The sequence below is a fragment of the Homo sapiens genome, chromosome 5 (genome assembly GCF_000001405.40).
Source record: "Homo sapiens chromosome 5, GRCh38.p14 Primary Assembly".
NCBI lineage: Eukaryota > Metazoa > Chordata > Mammalia > Primates > Hominidae > Homo > Homo sapiens.
This window is the reverse complement of record NC_000005.10, coordinates 16,820,333-16,839,235: the sequence shown is the minus strand read 5'-3', so window position 1 is coordinate 16,839,235 and position 18,903 is coordinate 16,820,333. Positions and strand designations below refer to the sequence as shown.

The following is an 18,903-nucleotide window of genomic DNA, read 5'->3' as shown; positions in this document are numbered from 1 at the left end:
TAGAATGGTGAATCCTTTCCAGAAGGTTTTCAATGTATTTTGCCTGGCTCCATCAGAGCAATCACCATCTACTATGGCACTAGGTATATAGGCTTATGAAATGCATTCCTTAAATAATAAGACTTGAGAGTCAAAGTTACTCCTTGATCCGTGGGCTGCAGAATGGGTGTTGTCTTAGCAGGCATGAAAACATGAATCTCCTTGTACATCTTTATCAGAGCTCTTGGGTGACCAGGTGCATTGTCAGTGAGCAGTAATATTTTGAAAGAAATCTTTTTTTCTGAGCAGTAGGTTTCAACAGTGGACTTAACATATCACTAAAACCATGCTGTAAACAGATGTACTGGCATCTCAGTTCTGTTATTCCGTTTATAGAGATGAGTAGATTTAGCATAATTCTTAAGAGCTCTAACGTTTTCAGAATGGTAAATGAGCACTGGCTTCAACTTAAAGTCCTCATTTGCATTAACCCCTAACAAGAGAGTCTGTGTGTCCTTTGAAGCCAGGCCTTGAGTTCTCCTCTTTAATTGTGGAAGTTCTAGATGGCAGCTTCTAGTAGGAGGCTGTTTTGTCCACACTGAAAACCTTTTTAGTGTAGCCACCTTCATCAATGATCTTATTTAGATCTTCTGAATAACTTGCTGCAGCTTCTTTGTCAACATGTCCTGCTTCCCCTTGCTCTTTTGTGTTGTGGAGACGGCTTCTTTTCTTAAATCTCATCAACGAATCTGTGCTGGCTCCAGACTTTTCTTCTGCAGCTTACTGACCTCTCAGCCTTGATAGAATTGAAGAGAATGAGGGCCTTGCTCTGGATTAAGCTTTGGCTGAAGGGATTGTTGTGGCTGGTTTGATCTATCCAGACCACTCAAACTTCCTCTATGTCAGCAACAAGACTGTTTTACCTTCTTTTCATTCATTTGTTCACTGTAGTGGCACTTTTAATTTCCTTCAAGAAATTTTCCTTCAAGAATTTTACCTTTGCAACTTGGCTGTTTGGCTTCCAGCTTGTCTTAACTTTCGCCATGCCTTCCTCACTCAGCTGCGTCATTTGTAGCTTTTGATTTAAAGTGAGAGATGCGTGACTCTTTTTTACTTGAACATTTAGTGGCCATTGTGGGGTTATTTCATTGGCCCAATTTCAATATTGTTGTGTCTCAGAGGATATGAAGGCCCCAGGAGAGGGAGAGAGACAGGGAACAGCTGGTCGGTGGAGCAGTCAGAACACACATTAGGTTCACTGTCTTGTATGGGTGTGGTTTGTGGCGCCCCCAAACAATTACAATAGGAGCATCAAAGATCAAATATTATAATAATGGAAAAGTTTGAATTATTGTGAGAATTACCAAAATATGACACGGATGTGAAGTGAGCACCTGCTGTTGTAAAAACAGCAGCAGTAGACTTGCACAGGGTTGCCACAAACCCTCGATTTGTAAGAAAATGCAGTGTCTGTGAATTAAACGAGGTGTGCCTGTATTTGAGGTGGGCTCAGTTTGCCAGTGAGGGAAAGGCACCAGCATATATCAGACACCTTGCATTCCCTGGGTTCTGTGCTAAGTGCCTAACTCATGTGTATTAAAAAAGAATAACAGTTTTATTGAGATGTAACCCACAAACCATAGACTTTACTCAAAGTGTACCATTCAGCAACTTCTTTAGTGTATTTACAGAGTTGTGCAGTCATCACCACAGTCAAATTTAGAACACTTTCATCACCCCGAAAGAAAACCTTGTACCTGTTAGCAGCCAGTCCCTATAACCCTCCTCCTAACCCCTGGCAACCACTAATCTACTTTCTGTCTCTATGAATTTGCTTATTCTGGACATATTATGTAAATGGAAACATAATAATATATAGCCTTTTGTGTCTGGACTCTTTCACTTAGCATATTTACAAGGTTCGTCAGTATGTTTTTTTTTCTTTTGAGACGGAATTTTGCTCTTGTTGCCTAGGCTGAAGTGCAATGGTGTGATCTTGGCTCACCGCAACCTGTGCCTCCCGGGTTTCAGCAATTCTCCTGCTTCAGCCTCCCAAGTAGCTGGGATTACAGGCCTCTGCCACCACGCCCTGCTAATTTTGTATTTTTAGTAGAGATGGGGTTTCTCCATGTTGGTCAGGCTGGTCTCGAACTCCTGACCTCAGGTGATCTGCCCGCCTCGGCCTCCCAAAGTACTGGGATTACAGGTGTGAGCCACCTCTCCCTGCCTATCAGTACATCATTTTTATTGCCAAATAATACTCCCTGGTATAGTCACACCACATTATGTCTATCTATCATCTGTTACAACCATTTGGGTTGTTTCCACTTTTGGCTAATAGGAAAAATGCTGGTACGAACATTCATGGTAACCTTTTCGTGTGGACATACGTTTTTATTTTTCTTGGGTATATATCTAGGAGTGAATTGCTGGATCATATGGTAACTGTATTTAGCCTTTCAAAGAATGACCAGACTGTTTTCCAAAGCGTCTGCACCATTTTACATTCCCACCAGCCATGAGTTAACTCATATATATTTAAAAGGCATAAATACAACTATCAAGTGAGCAGAGAACAATTTTAAGTTTTAAAAAAATCCTGATCCAAATCTCAAAGTCTCTGAAGGACGTGACTGCTCTGAATGAGATACAGCTTTTCCCAGTTTTCAGATATCCGCAAGGTGGGGGCTGTATACCCCTTGGTGCATGTCCGTCATATTTTCATCAGTTTCCATCTGCCCATCTTCTTGGGCACATGTGTAGTCATTGAGTTTTTGCTGTTGGCCTTCTTCATTATCTTTGACTCTGGAATGTAGAAAATGAGGTGGAGTTGATGGATGAAGATGCAAACCACTGGAGGTGGGTTATAACCAAAGTAGGAATAGGGGTTAAATTTTTACTATTTTTGTCTGTAACAGTGGAGGAGGAGCTGTTCTCTCATATGAATAGTGACCATTTGTTATCTACTGAAAGAGTGTAAGAGCCCCTTTGTCCTTACACTGTGTTTTGATTCCATCGCATTCTAAAATGCAAATTTGAATAGATAAGATTACAAGGATATCACCAGAAAGAAAGAATCTCCAGACACTCTTTTTGGGAGGGGGATGAGAAGTTAGGCAAGGAGTGAGGATACTGACGATAGTATGCCCCTATCTCTCCTAAACTTTGTTCTTAGGAGGTTTCACCCTGATTCCCATCAGTTTCCCTAACCCTCAGATCCTCTGGCTCTTAGATATTCAGACCAGATTTCTGGTACAAGCTGTGCAGGGCTTTTACATCCTTTGCTTTCATAGACACTTACAAAGACACAGCAATTTCTTGTTGACACATTTGAGAGGAGTAGGGGGAACAAGTGACCTTATTTTTATTATGATCCATGTACTGGGAAAACTCTCCCAGAGCATGATATTAATGTTTTTGTTATCAAAAATGTCTTTTTTTTTTTTAAAGACTTTTGCCCTCCTTAATTAGTAACCTACTTTTTTTTGGGGTCTTTCTTCTTTCTGGCCTTCTGCCTTTCCCTAATCTTTCCATTAATTCAGAGAGTGTTTTCCTGATATTTCTACAGATTTCCTTGATAGTGGGGATGGGGTTGGTGGACAGGAAGAGTGTGGGGAGATAATTATGTCATATTCTGAGCTGATGTGGCTTGTTATCTTCTGGATGTTGTGAGTTCTCCTAGTTTTTGTACCATAAGTTTGAGCCAAGCTGACATCTTGCTGTCTTTGTACATATCTCACCAAAAAAAAAAAAAAAAAAAAAAACAGCCAAAAATGACTTTGGTGTGATCTCGGCTCACTGGAACCTCAGCTTCTTGTGCCTCAGCTTCCCGAGTAGCTGGGATTACAGGCATGCTCCACAACGCCCGGCTAATTTTGTATTTTTTAGTAGAGATGGGGTTTCATCATGTTGGCCAGGCTGATCTCGAACTCCTGACCTCAGGTGATCTGCCCACCCTATCTCAAAGTGCTGGGATTACAGGCATGAGCCACCACGCCAGGCCCTGATTCTGTTTTTGTTTACTGGATTAATAAATACCTTGTGTGTTATCTCTAAATTCTTCCCCACCCCTCTACCCACCCGAGACAGTCTCACTCTGTCGCCCATGCTGGAGTACAGTGACGCAATCTCGACTTACTGCAACCTCCACCTCCTGGGTTCAAGCAATTCTCTTGCCTCAGCCTCTCGAGTAGCTGGGGTACAGGCGTGTGCCACCACGGTGGCCCGCCTAATTTTTGTATTGTTAGTAGAGATGGGGTTTCACCATGTTGTCCAGGCTAGTCTTTAACTCCTGACCTCATGATCCGCCTGCCTCGGCCTCCCAAAGTGTTGGGATTACAGGTGTGAGCCACTGCGCCCAACTGTTATCTCTAAATTCTCAATGGGCACTTGGAAATGTGCCCATCTGCCAAAAATGGCTTGGAAAACACATAATGTTTAAAGCTAGGACTCATTCCATTGATTTTTGTTTAAAACTAAGAGGTGTATTCATATTTGGTTTGAATATGTCCTTTTCATTTCACTTAAGGGCAGCCAAGGAATTACTGTCCTATTATTTAGTTTAAGAAAATTTCAAGGTGACCTGTAAATGAAAAGTGTTGATTTGTGACCCAGTCTTTGGAGTTGGTTTTAGATGACAAACGTAAAGTCCTCATCATGTAATCTTAGTACCACACGTGGTAGCTGCTGTTCATCCCTTTAGCAGAAAATTATTAAGCAGCCATTAGTTCCAGGAATTTGATGAGACAGTGAGAACCCAGAAGTTTTTGTGAGACAAGTCCTGGTCCCCACAGATTGATCCATACGAGGGTGGTGAGAGGGGGTCCTCAGCACCCCCTGCTATTGTAGACACCAGGATTTGCTCTTGCCCTCCTTCCCATCTACCCACATGCAGTTCCACGTCCTCATCACGGTGCACCAGGAAATCAGCCACTTCGGCATATGAGCTGGAAGTTTCTCTCCTTGATTGATGATTACTAGGCAGGGGTAAGAAAACCGAGGTTACAATAGAATGTAAGTGACCTGAGAGGTTTCTGTCCAAGGTGCTGTGGGAGAGAAGGCCAGCCCGCTCAGACTAGATGTGGTGGGGAAACTCAAAAGAGGGGTGACTGGGAGGGTGTGCTGAGCCAAGGAAGGAAAGACAGACAGACCCCAGGAGAGTTAACCCTTACAGGGACTCAAAGTTAATCTAATGCGTATGGAGTCAGCTTGGCAGGTGAAACAATGGGGCGTTCGGGGGGGCCTGGCAGAGAAACCACATTAAATAATTGATATTTTGTCCTCGAAGTGATTGGGAAACAACTGTCAGAGAATTCCAATCAGGGTATGGCCAGATTACATCACTGATAACAGTAATATGACTAACTGAAATATCAGAGTTGCTTACACAGTACCAAGAACTGTGCTAAATGTGTACAATACTTATGTGCATGATCTCACTCTGTTTGCACTAAGAAACATAGCCATTTGGATTATTCTTATATTATAGATGAGGAAACTAAGGATTGGAGAGCAGAGTAACTGGAACAAGTTAAGATTGCTCAGCCAGTGAGGTGCAGAGTGGAGTTCAGCACTGCCAAATCTCATGTTCTGCAAACTTGAGCAGTTTCCCTTGAAGGAGGAAAGATTCTAGTCAATCCTGTTTTGGGAAACAGCAGCCAAAGAAACCAAAATCTTATCTCTGAAAATACCTTTCAATTCTATATTATCAAGGCCAAGAAAAATTGTCATTAAAACTAGTAAAATGGCCGGGCACAGTGGCTCACACCTATAATCCCAGCACTTTGGGAGGCTGAGGTGGGCAAATCACGAGGTCAGGAGTTCGAGACCAGCCTGGCCAACATGGTGAAACCTCGTCTCTACTAATAATACAAAAATTATCCAGGTGTGGTGGTGGACACCTGTACTCCCAGCTACTCAGGAGGCTGAGGCAGGAGAATCATTTGAGCCTGGGAGGCGGAGGTTGCAGTGAGCCGAGATCATGCCACTGCACTCCAGCCTGGGCGACAGAGTAAGACTCAATCTCAAAAAAAAAAAAAACAAACCTAGTAAAATATATTTTAAAACATCATTAAAATTAAAGTTCAAAATTTAAAGAAACATATCTTGGACTCTAATTTGAGAAACGTTGGCTTTATGCCACAGGATGCTAGAGGCAGAGAGATGAATTTGGAGGCAGTTGTAGAGGTCTGGGTTGAAAGATGTTAGTACTGGAGCCCCAGTAGAGGCAGGAGGAGGTGGAGTAGAGGGGAGGCAGTAGAGGGGAGAGAAGGTGGATTCTAGATTGTGTTATTATCTGATCCCAAGGACTTGCAATGTGGCTGCAGTGGTTGGCAATGGAGGGATTTTAGGTTGACTCTGGTTTCTGACTTGGGTAGCTGATAGCAAAGGTGTCATTCCCTGAGGAAGGGGTAAGGAAGTAGCCACAAGGTGAACAGGAGGAGATGCCGAGGTCAGTTTTTGTTTTGAGATGCTTGTGAAACATCAAGGTGTTTTGGAGTCGTAGGAATGGAGGTTTACAGCAGAGTTTAAGTTCATGTGATAGCCATGTTACCTGAAGGGATCTGGGCTTATGACTGAGAAGACAGGGCTCCAAAAGGGGTTCTAAAATTAAGACCGGGACATGAGGTCAGGAGTAAAGGGCCCTCAGAGGTGAGAGCTCATCCACCAGTAGTTGAGGAGCAAGCAGCCAAGAATTGGGGGTTCCATCCATGCCTCTTGAATTTCTCTAGACTGAAACTTACTATGTTTAAAACCAGAGGGTTAGAGGAGAAGCCCTTTTTTCCTTCTGAGAGCTTGTGACTCCTTGGGTAGATCTTTTGTTTTGTTTTTGTTGTTTTTTGAAAGCTGTTCTACAATGCTCATTTTATAAAAATGTATTAAACCCCTTATATTTATCCAGATACATTCACTGATAGTGATTTTGATTGGACTGATTTCCTTTTTAAGCCTAGAAATGTATACAAGCTTTAGAAAACAGGGAAAGAGTCATAGAAAAGTATTAAAAACACCTACAAAGCCAGGTGCAGTGGGGAACACCTGTAATCCTAGCACTGTGGGAGGCTGAAGTGGTCAGATTGTTTTGAGCTCAGGAGTTTGACACCAGCCTGGACAACGTGGCAAAACCCTGTCTCTACACAAAAATTAGCAGGGCGTGGTGGCATGCGCCTGTAGTCCCAGCTACCTGGTTGGGGGCTAAGGCGGGGAGCATCACTTGAACCCAAGAGGTGGAGGCCGCGGTGAGCTGAGATTGCTCCACTGCACTCCAGGCTGGGTGACAAAGTGAGACCTGTCTCAAAAATAAATAAATAAACACACACACACCCAAAAACCTATAAACTTGCCACACATTATTGGAGTTCTGATATATATAAATTTTTTTATTTCCATAGGTTATTGGGGGAACAGTTGGTGTTTGGTTATATGAATAAGTTCTTTAGTGGTGATTAGAGAGATTTTGGTGCACCCATCACCTGAGTAGTATACACTGCACCCAATTTGTAGTCTTTTATCCCTCACCCCCTTCCCACCCTTTCCCATTGATTCCCCAAAGTCCATTGTGTCATTCTTACGCCTTTGCATCCTCATAGCTTTGCTCCCACATATGAATGAGAACATACGATGTTTGTTTTTCCATTCCTGAGTTACTTCACTTAGAATAATAGTCTCCAGTCTCATCCAGGTTGCTGTGAATACCATTAATTCATTCCTTTTTATGGCTGAGTAGTATTCCATTGTATATATATATACCACAGTTTCTTTATCCACTCATTGATTAACGGGCATTTGGGCTGGTTCCACATTGTTGCAATTGCGAATTGTGCTGCTATAAACGTGCGTGCGCAAGTATCTTTTTTGTATAATGACTTCTTTTCCTCTGGGTAGATACCCAGTAGTGGGATTGCTGGATCAAATGGTAGTTCTACTTTTAGTTCTTTAAGGAATCTCCACACCGTTTTCCATGGTGGTTGTACTTGTTTGCATTCCCACCAGCAGTGTAGAAGTGTTCCCTGTTCACCGCATCCATGACAACATTGATTCTTTTTTAATTTTTTGACTGTGGCCGTTCCTGCAGGAGTAAGGTGGTGTCACATGGTGGTTTTGATTTGCATTTCCTGATCATTAGGGGTGTTGAACATGTTTTCATATGTTTCTTGGCCATTTGTGTATCATCTTTTGGTCCCATGTCTCCTTTACTCAGCTTCCCTCAGTGACATCTTGCAAAACCAGAGCGTAACATCCCAGCCAGGATATTGACATTGACGCAGTGGATACAGATCATTTCCATCAGCACAGGACCCTCCTGTTGCCCTTCACAGCCATCCTCATTACCCTCCTGCCCAGTTCCCTCCTTAGCCTCTGGCAACCACCAGTCTGTTCTTCATCCTCTGTAATTTTGTCATTTCAAGAATATTCTATGAATAGAATCACATAGCATGTAACCAGGAATTGGCTTTTTCAGCTTTTGCCTATTGTAAATGTGCTATAAATATTTGTGTGCAAGTTTTTTTGCAAATGTAAGTTTTTAGAATGAAGGCCCAAGAGTACAGTCGCCCTGTGTGTGTGTGTGTGTGTGTGCCTATTAAAAAAATAACGTTAGGATTATACTACATATATGCATAGTAGAATTTTATTACAAATTCATTTTAGTATAACTCCACAATGAAAAAACCATTTTTATACAGTGATTGTTTTCTGCACACTAAATTCCTAAATGTGGAAAGACTGGCTCGAAGAGTTTGAACATCTTTTTTTTTTTCTTGATAGACTTGGCCTGCATAGTGGGTATAAGCAACAAGAAAGCGTTCTAATTACACATCTTAGCATAACGAAAACAACAAGGATGCTTTTCTTTGTGCAGTAGATGTCCCTTAAAAATTATACAGAAAGTTTTCTTTTGTGAATAAACAAAGTACTGTAGTTGAGGATTTAAAGGAAATCTGTACCTGAGTCTATAAAATCACAGTTCCTGACCTTACATATAAATACAAATTTGAGGTCTGGTTTTCCCTTTTTTTTTTTGAGATGGAGTCTCCCTCTGTCGCCCAGGCTGGAGTGCAGTGGCACAATCTCAGCTCACTGCAACCTCTGCCTCCTGGGTTCAAGTAATTCGTCAACCTCAGCCTCCCAAGTAGCTGGGACTAAAGGCGCGCACCATGACGCCCGGCTAATTTTTGTGATTTTTAGTAGGGGTTTCACCACGTTGGCCAGGCTGGTCCCGAACTCCTCACCTCACGTGGTCCGCCTGCCTCGGCCTCTCAAAGTGCTGGGATGAGAGGTGTGAGCCACCGCACCTGGCTGGTTTTCCTTAATGTACAACTATCCTAGTATATTCTTGTGTGCGTGTGCGTGTGCGTGTGTGTGTGTGTGTATTAGCCGTTCCTTCCAACTGAGCTAACTTTGTGTGGCATTTAACTTTTTCCTCTTAAGTTACCAAGAGTGCTCAGGGCCTGGGTATCACCGAGGCCTTTCTGGTTGCTGAGTAGTTACTGTGAAAGTGTGTTCGTTGCGTCTGCACTGCTTGTTGTGTGGCATCTCCACTGGCAGATGTGCTGCTGGCACACTAGCCCCTGGATGTTTCAGACTTCTTGACTTATCCTGTTAGCCTGCCTGCAGCCCTGCGGCGCTGTCAGAAAGGTTTGAGCTGGATGGTTAGTATTTACCGCTCAGTGACTGGTCTGCCAGCAGCTTTATGATGTTGTGTGCACCATCCCTGATACTTTTGGGGGTGCGCGATTTGTGTACATGACGGCAGGAAGAAACCTTCCATTTTGGGAACAGCAGTGTTTGTGGCGATTGCTCCTCAAGAGGATTCAGAAGATTGCTTTCCTGTGGAGTTTCTGTTGAATTGCATCTTGCAGTGAGATTTATTCTTTATCTCTTGTCTCTAGAAAGTCTCGGTGCTGTGTTTGATGTTAGTGTTGCCCATGATGATGAGCAGGTAGAGAAGATTCTGTGCCCTCCCTAACCACTTATGTGCCTTTCATGTCCTTCAGGTCAGAAGCCAGGCAGCACCCAGGGCACAGGGGGCCCTTCCCAAGTCAGCCCCTGCTGCAGCCACGCTCAACCACAGATGCCCCGTGCCACATCACCCTTGCATCTGTGTCCCTCCTGGCCATTACCTGTCCCACATGGATCATCTCTATTGTGCCCTGGGCATTTCTACCATAACAGCCCCTACTGCACTGTCAGGATTGCCTATTTTTCAGAACCCTCAGTGGACTGTAAACTCTTCGCAGGGAGGGGCTGTTTAATTAATCATTGTATCCCCAGGGTCCAGCTAACAGGCCACCATGAGTGATTGAGGAAACTTAAAAGAGAGTAAATAAATGAAAAGTAATGGAATAAATGAGTGAGATTAAACCTAGTACACTGGGGCTGGGCATGGTGGTGTGCACCTGTAGTCCCAGTTAACTCTGTAGGCTGAGGCGGGAGGACTGCTTGAGCCCGGGAGTTCCAGGCTGTAGTTCACTCCAGCCTGGGTGACAGAGTGAGACCCTGTCTCAAAACAAAACAAAACAAAACAAACTTAGTGTACCAGGAAAGTGATGCAAAATCAGCTTGTCCTTCCTCCTCTCTACCCTGCCCTCTCCTTTGAAGGGTCACTGGGATTCTTTGCTTTTTTTTTTTTTTTTTTGGAGACAGAGTCTCTCTCTGTCATCCAGGCTGGAGTGCAGTGGCGCAATCTCAGCTCACTGCAACCTGCACCTCCTCGGTTTAAGTGATTCCCCTGCCTCAGCCTCCCAAGTAACTGGGATTACAGGCATGTGACACTGTGCCCTGCTAACTTTTGTTATTTTTAGTAGAGACGGGGGGTGGTGGTTTCACCATGTTGGCCAAGCTGGTCTTGAACTCCTGACCTCAGGTGATCCAAAATGCTGACCTCGTCTTCCCAAAGTGCTGGGATTATACCTTCTTTGCTTTTGACTCCATTCCCAGGGCATCCACCCTCAGCGATCTCTTTGCCTTCATCTTCATGATGTAATCACACCACGTTCTCTTTGTCAATTTAAAAGAGGAGCAACTCAAGCAAAGTGGAGGGCTAAGGGGACAGTAGCACCAGCAGTGGGCCAGGCAGGGGTGAGCTGTGTGCTGCCCTCACCAATCTAAGCCTCAGCATCTCTGCCGCGGAGATACTAATGCCTTTACCGTATACATTCGAACATCAATTCAGGGTGAGGAATGTGCCCAGGGACTCATAGCCAGTAAGGAAGTGGCGGAGCTGGAATTCAAAAGGCCATCTCTGAACACGTGGCCCTCTAAGGTCTGACTCTACCACGCATGCTTCCCCATGATACCAAGAAATTGAACTCTCCCTGTGCTGTGTGCTGTTGGGGAAGTTTCCTGACTTCTCTGATCCTCTGTGAATTCATCCTTTTAAAAATGAGCATCAGTATTACCTCCCCATCTGAGGATCAAATGAGGTAACATTAGCAATGTCTGATGCATGCAGCTGGCACTTAATAAACCCGTTCCCTCTGCTTGGCCCTCTTATTTTGTTTTGGCACCTAAAGGATACACTGGGCATTGAAAACCTGATGACAGTTTAAAGGACTTAATTTCACAAACTAGTTTGAGTCTTTGAAAAAGAAACTAACAATCTTTGTGTTATCTATACTTCATAGTTATCTAACAAAGTAGCAGAAGAGTTACGTATATAAAGATAACATTGGCTGGGCGCAGTGGCTCACGCCTGTAATCCCAACACTTTGGGAAGCCAGGGTGGGCGGATCACTTGAGTACGGGAGTTCGAGACCAGCCTGGCCATCATGGTGAAACCGCATCTCTACTAAAAATACAAAAATTAGCCAGGCTTGGTGGTGCTTGCCTGTAATTCCAGCTATCCGGGAGGCTGAGCCAGGAGAATTGCTTGAACCCAGGAGGCGGAGGAGGTTGCAGTGAGTCGAGACTGTGCCACTGCATTCCAGCCTGGGTGACAGTGAGACTCCGTCTCCAAAAAAACAAAAAAAGATAATGTTAACCCCTAGGCTATAGTAACTAGAGTGCCAAATCTCTGACAAGTTTGAGCTGAAAACAGGGCAGTATTGCTATTTTTTCCTCCGCACGCTAGCAGAGTAGACCTGTGTGAATTTCCTTTTGATTAGATTCCAATGAAATTCTCTAGGGGACTTGACGTTTTCTTGCCCCCAAATAATTTCTCCAGTCTTGTGAGGAAGCAGCAAAAACAATAGGAAAAGGCAGATTTGCAGTTAGGTGGATTGTTTTCTTCTTAGACTCTTCTTGGTTGCAAAGGAACGCCATAAAAGTATAAATTACTCAGTACAAAATAATCATGGAGCTTAAGCACGCATACACCAGTCATTGAAAGCACAGGGTCAGTGAAGCTGAACATAAGCTCGTTTTTGTTTACATGATTGCTAATTTCAGCCATATGTCAGGAGGCAGATATCTTAACAACCTTTGTTATTGATCACTACTTTGATTCATGAATTAAAGAGCCAATACACGAAAGGAGGAAAATAAGAGCGACATCCCCAGAAACAACGTGGAATTCCAGGAAAAATCTAAACGAGGCCAGCCAACTTCGTGCAAAGGGATTAAAATAGGAGAAGAGAGTGTTATGACAAATAGATTTTCATCAGAGAGCTTACAGGCAAGGTTGTCATAAAACATGGAGAACGCACACGCAGCCTCCCTTTGCCCGCTCCTTCCTCCCGCACAGGAGCTGTTCCGGAGAGTGTGTTCTCTCTCATCTTCAGAGCCTGGGCTCCTCCTGCCGCACTCCCTGAGACTCTTGCTTTTTCCTCATAGAATGCTCTGTGTTGTTCTTTGTATTCTGTTCCCCTGATAGGAATTGCTACCTTTTATTGTGTTCTTGTTGTATGCCAGTCACTGTGACTTTTACCTAGATTATTTTCCTTAGTTTTTATGGTAATTCTATGAGTTGTCTCTGATCATCATCCTTATTTTACAGACGGAGAAAATACTGGGCCAGAGAAATGAAAATCTTGTTTGTTGTCCTTAAGTTATAGGTAGCATAGATCTAGGAGAGGTCAATCCAGCTAGAAATGATTCTAAGGCCATGTTTGCCTCTTATTCCACTCTTTTTTGTTGTGTTTTTTTTTTTATTACTATGTTTTGTTTTTCGAGACTGAGTCTCATTCTATATCACCCAGGCTGGAGTGCAGTGGTGCAGTCTTGGCTCACTGTAACCTCCGCCTCCCGGGTTCAAGCGATTCTTTTGCCTCTGCCTCCCAAATAGCTGGGATTACAGGCACCCACCACCATGCCCGGCTAATTATTGTATTTTTAGTAGAGACAGGGTTTCACCGTGTTGACCAGGCTGGTCTCGATCTCCTGACCTGCCACCTTGATCTGCCCACCTTGGCTTCCGAAAGTGCTGGAATTACAGGCATGAGCCACCGTGCCCGGCCTGGTTTTGTTTTTTGAGACAGGGTCTCGCTGTCTTGTCCAGGCTGGAGTGCAATGACGTGATCTCAGCAAATTGCAATGTCCGCCTCCTGGGCTCAAGTAATTCTCATGCCTCAGCCTCCTGAATAGCTGGGATTACCGGCATATGCCACTGCATCCGGCTGTCCACTCTGCCTTTCTGTATGTATAATACCCATTTTGAGGGCCAGGACCATTCCTTCAGTATTTGTTGAGTCTGCCAGGGCTGGGCACTGGGGACAAGATGGGCTGGGTTCCTGCCTCAGAGTAGTGAAACGTGAAGTCAACTGAGAGGGTCATAGCTGGCATTTAAAAGAAATGAAATAGGATATAAAATATAGGGAGGCATCAAACGTTGTGATGCTGAGTGTTGTGTTAGGAAACTTTTGTTAAACTACAGTAGTTCACAGGGAAAAACATTTCTCACTGTGGGTCGTGGTCAGAAGAGTGTGAAAGATCCTGACCAAGAGGTTCCAGGGTGGGCGTGTGATGGCTTTTAAACAAGATAATGGATAAGTGATTATAATGTGTCATAAGGAGCAATGAGGACACACACGTGATAGAATAAGGAAGAGAGTGGCAGGGGTGCCTCTGGGCAAGACCACTGGTGTCTTCCGAGAGGATAGCATTTGAGCTGAGACCCCAAGGAGGAGAGTAGCAGGAAGACAGTTGCCCAGACATGGGAAGAGGTGCAAGATCCAGGGCCAGGAAGGAGCAAAGGAATATTCTCAGAAACAGAGATAGTGTGGACCATATTGTTTGACCATAATTAATGCAGTACAATTAGAAAATCTCAAAAATGTAAACAGTCTCCAATTCCTAGAAATCCTCCTCCTCCTCCTTAACTTGGGTCAAATAAAAACGAATGAATATAATATGACATAATATTGTCATGCTGATTTTGATTTACCTCTGTTCAGTGTTTTTATTTCTTCGATTGTTTTTGAAAGTTTTTTTGTTTTGTTTTGTTTTGTTTCTTTGAGACAGAGTCTTGCTCTGTTGCCCAGTCTGGTGTGTAGTGGTGTGATCTTGGCTCACTGCAACCTCCGCCTCCCGGGTTCAAGCGATTCTCCTGCCTCAGCCTCCTGAGTAGCTGGGACTACAGGTGCGTGCCACCACGCCCAGCTAATTTTTGTATTTTTAGTAGAGACAGGGTTTCACCATGTTGGCCAAGTTGGTCTCAATCTCTTGACCTCGTGATTCGCCTGCCTTGACCTCCCAAAGTGCTGGGATTACAAGCGTGAGCCACCGCGCCCGGCTGAAAGATGTTTTTATGATTTATGAAAAGTTTTACTTACAGGCATTGGCTTATTGTCATCATTTTTACTTAGTGTCTGGGTAGACATCTGGTTGTTTGGCATCTCAGGACATTTCTAGACCGTACTATTGTCATTTTGGGTAGTATTGGGTATCACTTTGATGTTTGGCAGCATTCCTGGTCTGTGCCCATTTAATGCCAGGTAGCACCCTTCTCCTCTCCCCCAAATTCTAACAACCAAAAATCTTTCCAGGTGTTGTCGAGTGTCCCCAGCAGTGGCGGGGGCGGGAAGGAGATTGAGAACCTCTACTCTAGGAGAAAAGCCAAGCTAGTGTGAGAGGAAGATGCTGTGCTTGAGAATACTCTGTATGTCATCTAGCGATTAGGGTTTTTATTTTTTCATTTTAATTTCCCTTCAGTTGGAAAAGTTAGGTTTTAAGACTGGGGGCTCCTAATGACTTGTAATAAAAGAAATCTGTGTATAAGCCCCTTCTCCAAGTTATGTTTTCAGTCGTATTGATCAGTTTCCTTTGTTCTGCCCCCACGCCAATCCAGTTCACCATGTTACCAGCGGTTTGTACTTCTAGAACAGAACAGTTTGTTCTCAGGTATCATTTTATCCAAGTGGATTTCTTGTCTGTTAATCCTCCATGTTTTGCTCATTCCTTCCCTCCTTTTCCATAGTTTATGCTCCATTAAAGTAACTCAGTTTATTCCAACTTGTGATTTTTAGAAAAACATCTTGTTACAGTATTGTGGCCCTTGTTTCCTTCAGGAAAAGTTCCATAAAAATAACCGCCCCCCGCCCCCCGCCCCCAGCCAGGCGCAGTGGCTCACGCCTGTAATCCCAACATTTTGGGAGGCCAAGGCGGGCAGATCACGAGGTCAGGAGTTCGAGACCATCCTGGCTAACACGGTGAAACCTGTCTCTACTAAAAATACAAAAAAAATGAGCTGGGCGTGGTGGCGGGCGCCTGTAGTCCCAGCTACTCGGGAGGCTGAGGCAGGAGAATGGCATGAACCCTGGAGGCGGAGTTTGCAGTGAGCCGAGATTGTGCCACTGCACTCTAGCCTGGGCGACAGAGTGAGACTCTGTCTCACAAAAAAAAAAAAAAAAAAATCCCCACTCCCCCCCCCCCCGCGCAAGATGGAGTCTTGCCCTGTCATCCAGACTGGAGTGCAGTGGTGCCATCTCGGCTCACTACAACATCTGCCCCCCGGGTTCAAGTGATTCTCATGCCTCAGCCTCTTGATTAGCTGGGATTACCGTCACGTGCCACCATGCCTGGCTAATTTTTGTGTTTTTAGTAGTGACGGGATTTCACCACGTTGGCCAGGCTGGTCTTGAACTCCTGGCCTCAAGTGATCTGCTGACTGCCTCAGCCTCCCAAAGTGCTGGGATTACAGGCGTGAGCTACTGAGCCCAGCCAGTAATGCCATTCTTTAAACTTAGAGTTTTCTTTCCTGCTGTATACCTTGCACGACTAATACCCTGCTAATTGTTGCACATAGAGGTGACTTTTGATAGTTCAAGAATCTCTCTTAAGAAATTCTTCAGTAAGATTGTGGGTCTCTTTAATCCTTTGAAATCTTTCCAAATTAGGCCGGGTGCGGTGGCTCACGCCTGTAATCCCAGCACTTTGGGAGGCCGAGGCGGGCGGATCACGAGGTCAGGAGATCGAGACCGTCCTGGCTAACACAGTGAAACCCCGTCTCTACTAAAAATACAAAAAATTAGCCGGGCGTGGTTGCGGGCGCCTGTAGTCCCAGCTACGCGGGAGGCTGAGGCAGGAGAATGGCCTGAACCTGGGAGGCGGAGCTTGCGGTGAGCCGAGATTGTGCCACTGCACTCCAGCCTGGGCGACAGAGGGAGACTCCGTCTCAAAAAAAAAAAAAAATAAAAATAAATAAAAAAGAAAAAAAAATATTTCCAAATTAAATCAGGTGTTCACTCACCCAATAATGTATTAAGATACTAGAACGCAGGGCGCTGGTTCTGTTTCTCACCTCCTTAGGGTTTCTCCTTTAATATTAATCCATCAGGCTGCCCCTGAATACCTGATGTAATTATAACCCCCAGGTACTCCTTAGTCCACCCTGACCTTCATTACGTTTCATAGACTCCATCACCACCTGCGATACTGTCTATTCACTTGTATATTTGTTTTTTATTTTCTTCCCTTGAATTGGAATGTAAGCTCGATCCCCAGTGCCTAGAACACACCAGCCAAACAATGTTTAAAAATTTGCTTGAATGAGTGATTTTCTAAATTTCTAAAATTTTTTCCTCATAGGAATTATTTGCTTGACTCGTTTTTTTTTTCCAACTTTTATTTTAAGTTTAGTTTGTCACGTAGGTAAACGTGTGCCGTGGTGGCTTGCCGCACACGCCATCCCATCACCTAGGTCTTAAGCCCAGCATCCATTAGCTATTCTTCCTGATGCTCTCCCCAAATTTCTAAATGTATCTGATCCTTATTTAGCACCTTCTGAATGCCAGACAATGTTCTAAGGTCTTTACCAACTGGAGCCCACCTCTGAATGGATGGTTTATCCTTGCTTTTCCTCCACAAATACATTTTTCTCTACTATTCTTTTTTTTTTTTGAAATACACATTGTTTTGAGCAGCTGCAATCCTGTATCTTGAAATAATGCTTTTTTTTTTCCCCCTCTTCCTAGCCTTCTGTTTTATTCATGTAGCGATTGTCTCCCGTCATGATTCTGTCTTCCTGTGGTCCTGAGAAGGAATGGTTCTAGTTCTCTTGATTTTTCCACCCCTGGAATGGGCATGCGTAATGTGCTCCTGAAAATAGGAGGAAAGGGGCCGGGCGCGGTGGCTCACGCCTGTAATCCCAGCACTTTGGGAGGCCGAGGCAGGTGGATCACGAGGTCAGGAGATCAAGACCATCCTGGCTAACACAGTGAAACCCCATCTCTGCTAAAAATACAAAAAATTAGCTGGGCGTGGTGGTGGGCGCCTGTAGTCCCAGCTACTCGGGAGGCTGATGCAGGAGAATGGCATAAACCTGGGAGGTGGAGGTTGCAGTGAGCCAAGATCGCGCCACTGCACTCCAGCCTGGGTGACAGAGCGAGACTCCGTCTCAAAAAAAAAAAAAAAAAAAAAAAAAAAAAAAAAAAAAAAAAGAAAATAGGAGGAAAGGAAGTCAAATGTATGAAGGTGGGGAACTCTAGTTTACAGGTTATAGCCCTATTTTTCAGTGATGGTTTCCAGCTCTGAACTGTTCACTTGGGCTATACATGATTTTGCTATTCCTGGTGCATCAAAAAAGACAATGAAATGTGTACATAGGATGTACACATAGGAGGTACACATAGGATGTACACATTTCATTGTCTTTTTTGATGCACCAGGAACAGCAAGATAATTACATAGGATGTAAACATTAAGTCATTTTATATATATACCTTATATAGATATTTTATACATACATATACATACATATACAAAACATTTTATATATTATATATTATACATTATATGTATATAAAACATCTTATATATTATATATTATACATATATGTATATAAACATCTTACATAATATATTAGGATATAAGGTATCTTAAGATATAAGATCTTATATAATATATATAAGATGTTTTATATGTATAGATGTATAATATATAATATATAAGATGTTTTATATATGTAAAATACATATAAGATATATGTATTACATATAAGATGTTTTATATGTGTGAAATATATACCATACACATTATATGTAATAAGTATGTGTATATTACATATATGTAAAATATAATTAGTGTCTGTGTTTTGTAGTGTCTTAAGTATTATGTATGATTATTTCCAGAAAGCAGAATATGTATCTATAAATACAAGTAAAAATTATAATATTCTAAATCTTCAAAATCTGGATTTCTCAGTATACCTAGAGTGACAGTTAGTAGAAGCTGTTTGTTTTCACGTTGAGAAGGACTTGCTGTTGGTGAGTTTGCAGGGGCTGGAGAGGGAGATAGTTGTGCTGGCTTCAGTGCCCTGTCTTCTTGCTTAGAAGAAAATTTGGGAAGGGAACTCGAGTTGCGCTGGCAGGAGCCTTGAGTCAGCAGAGTGAGATGAGACCTCAGGTGTGTGCCGGGAGCTGGCAGGTGGCATGGGCCCTACTTTATACTACTTGGTTGGCCGAGAGTTGACCAGCAGGCAAGTTCTGTTTCTGCCCCACCCTGGTCGGCACTTTTCTTTGGAAGACGCAAGTACCTGTCTGGTTGTAGCT

General features: G+C 43.5%; 1 protein-coding gene across 2 annotated transcripts in view, besides 1 other annotated feature; it reads left to right on the top strand.

Moving 5' to 3' along the window:
- MYO10 (myosin X) overlaps positions 1 to 18,903 on the top strand; it is a 274,382-nt gene that overhangs the window by 97,053 nt on the left and 158,426 nt on the right. The window lies entirely within an intron of this gene.
- Positions 8,732 to 9,652: an enhancer, noted in NCBI's record as "H3K27ac-H3K4me1 hESC enhancer chr5:16829693-16830613 (GRCh37/hg19 assembly coordinates)". NCBI's record gives its function as "activates a minimal SCP1, AML or CMV promoter by ChIP-STARR-seq in naive H9 embryonic stem cells {active_cell/tissue: H9 hESC(naive)}" and the evidence as "EXISTENCE:reporter gene assay evidence [ECO:0000049][PMID:30033119]".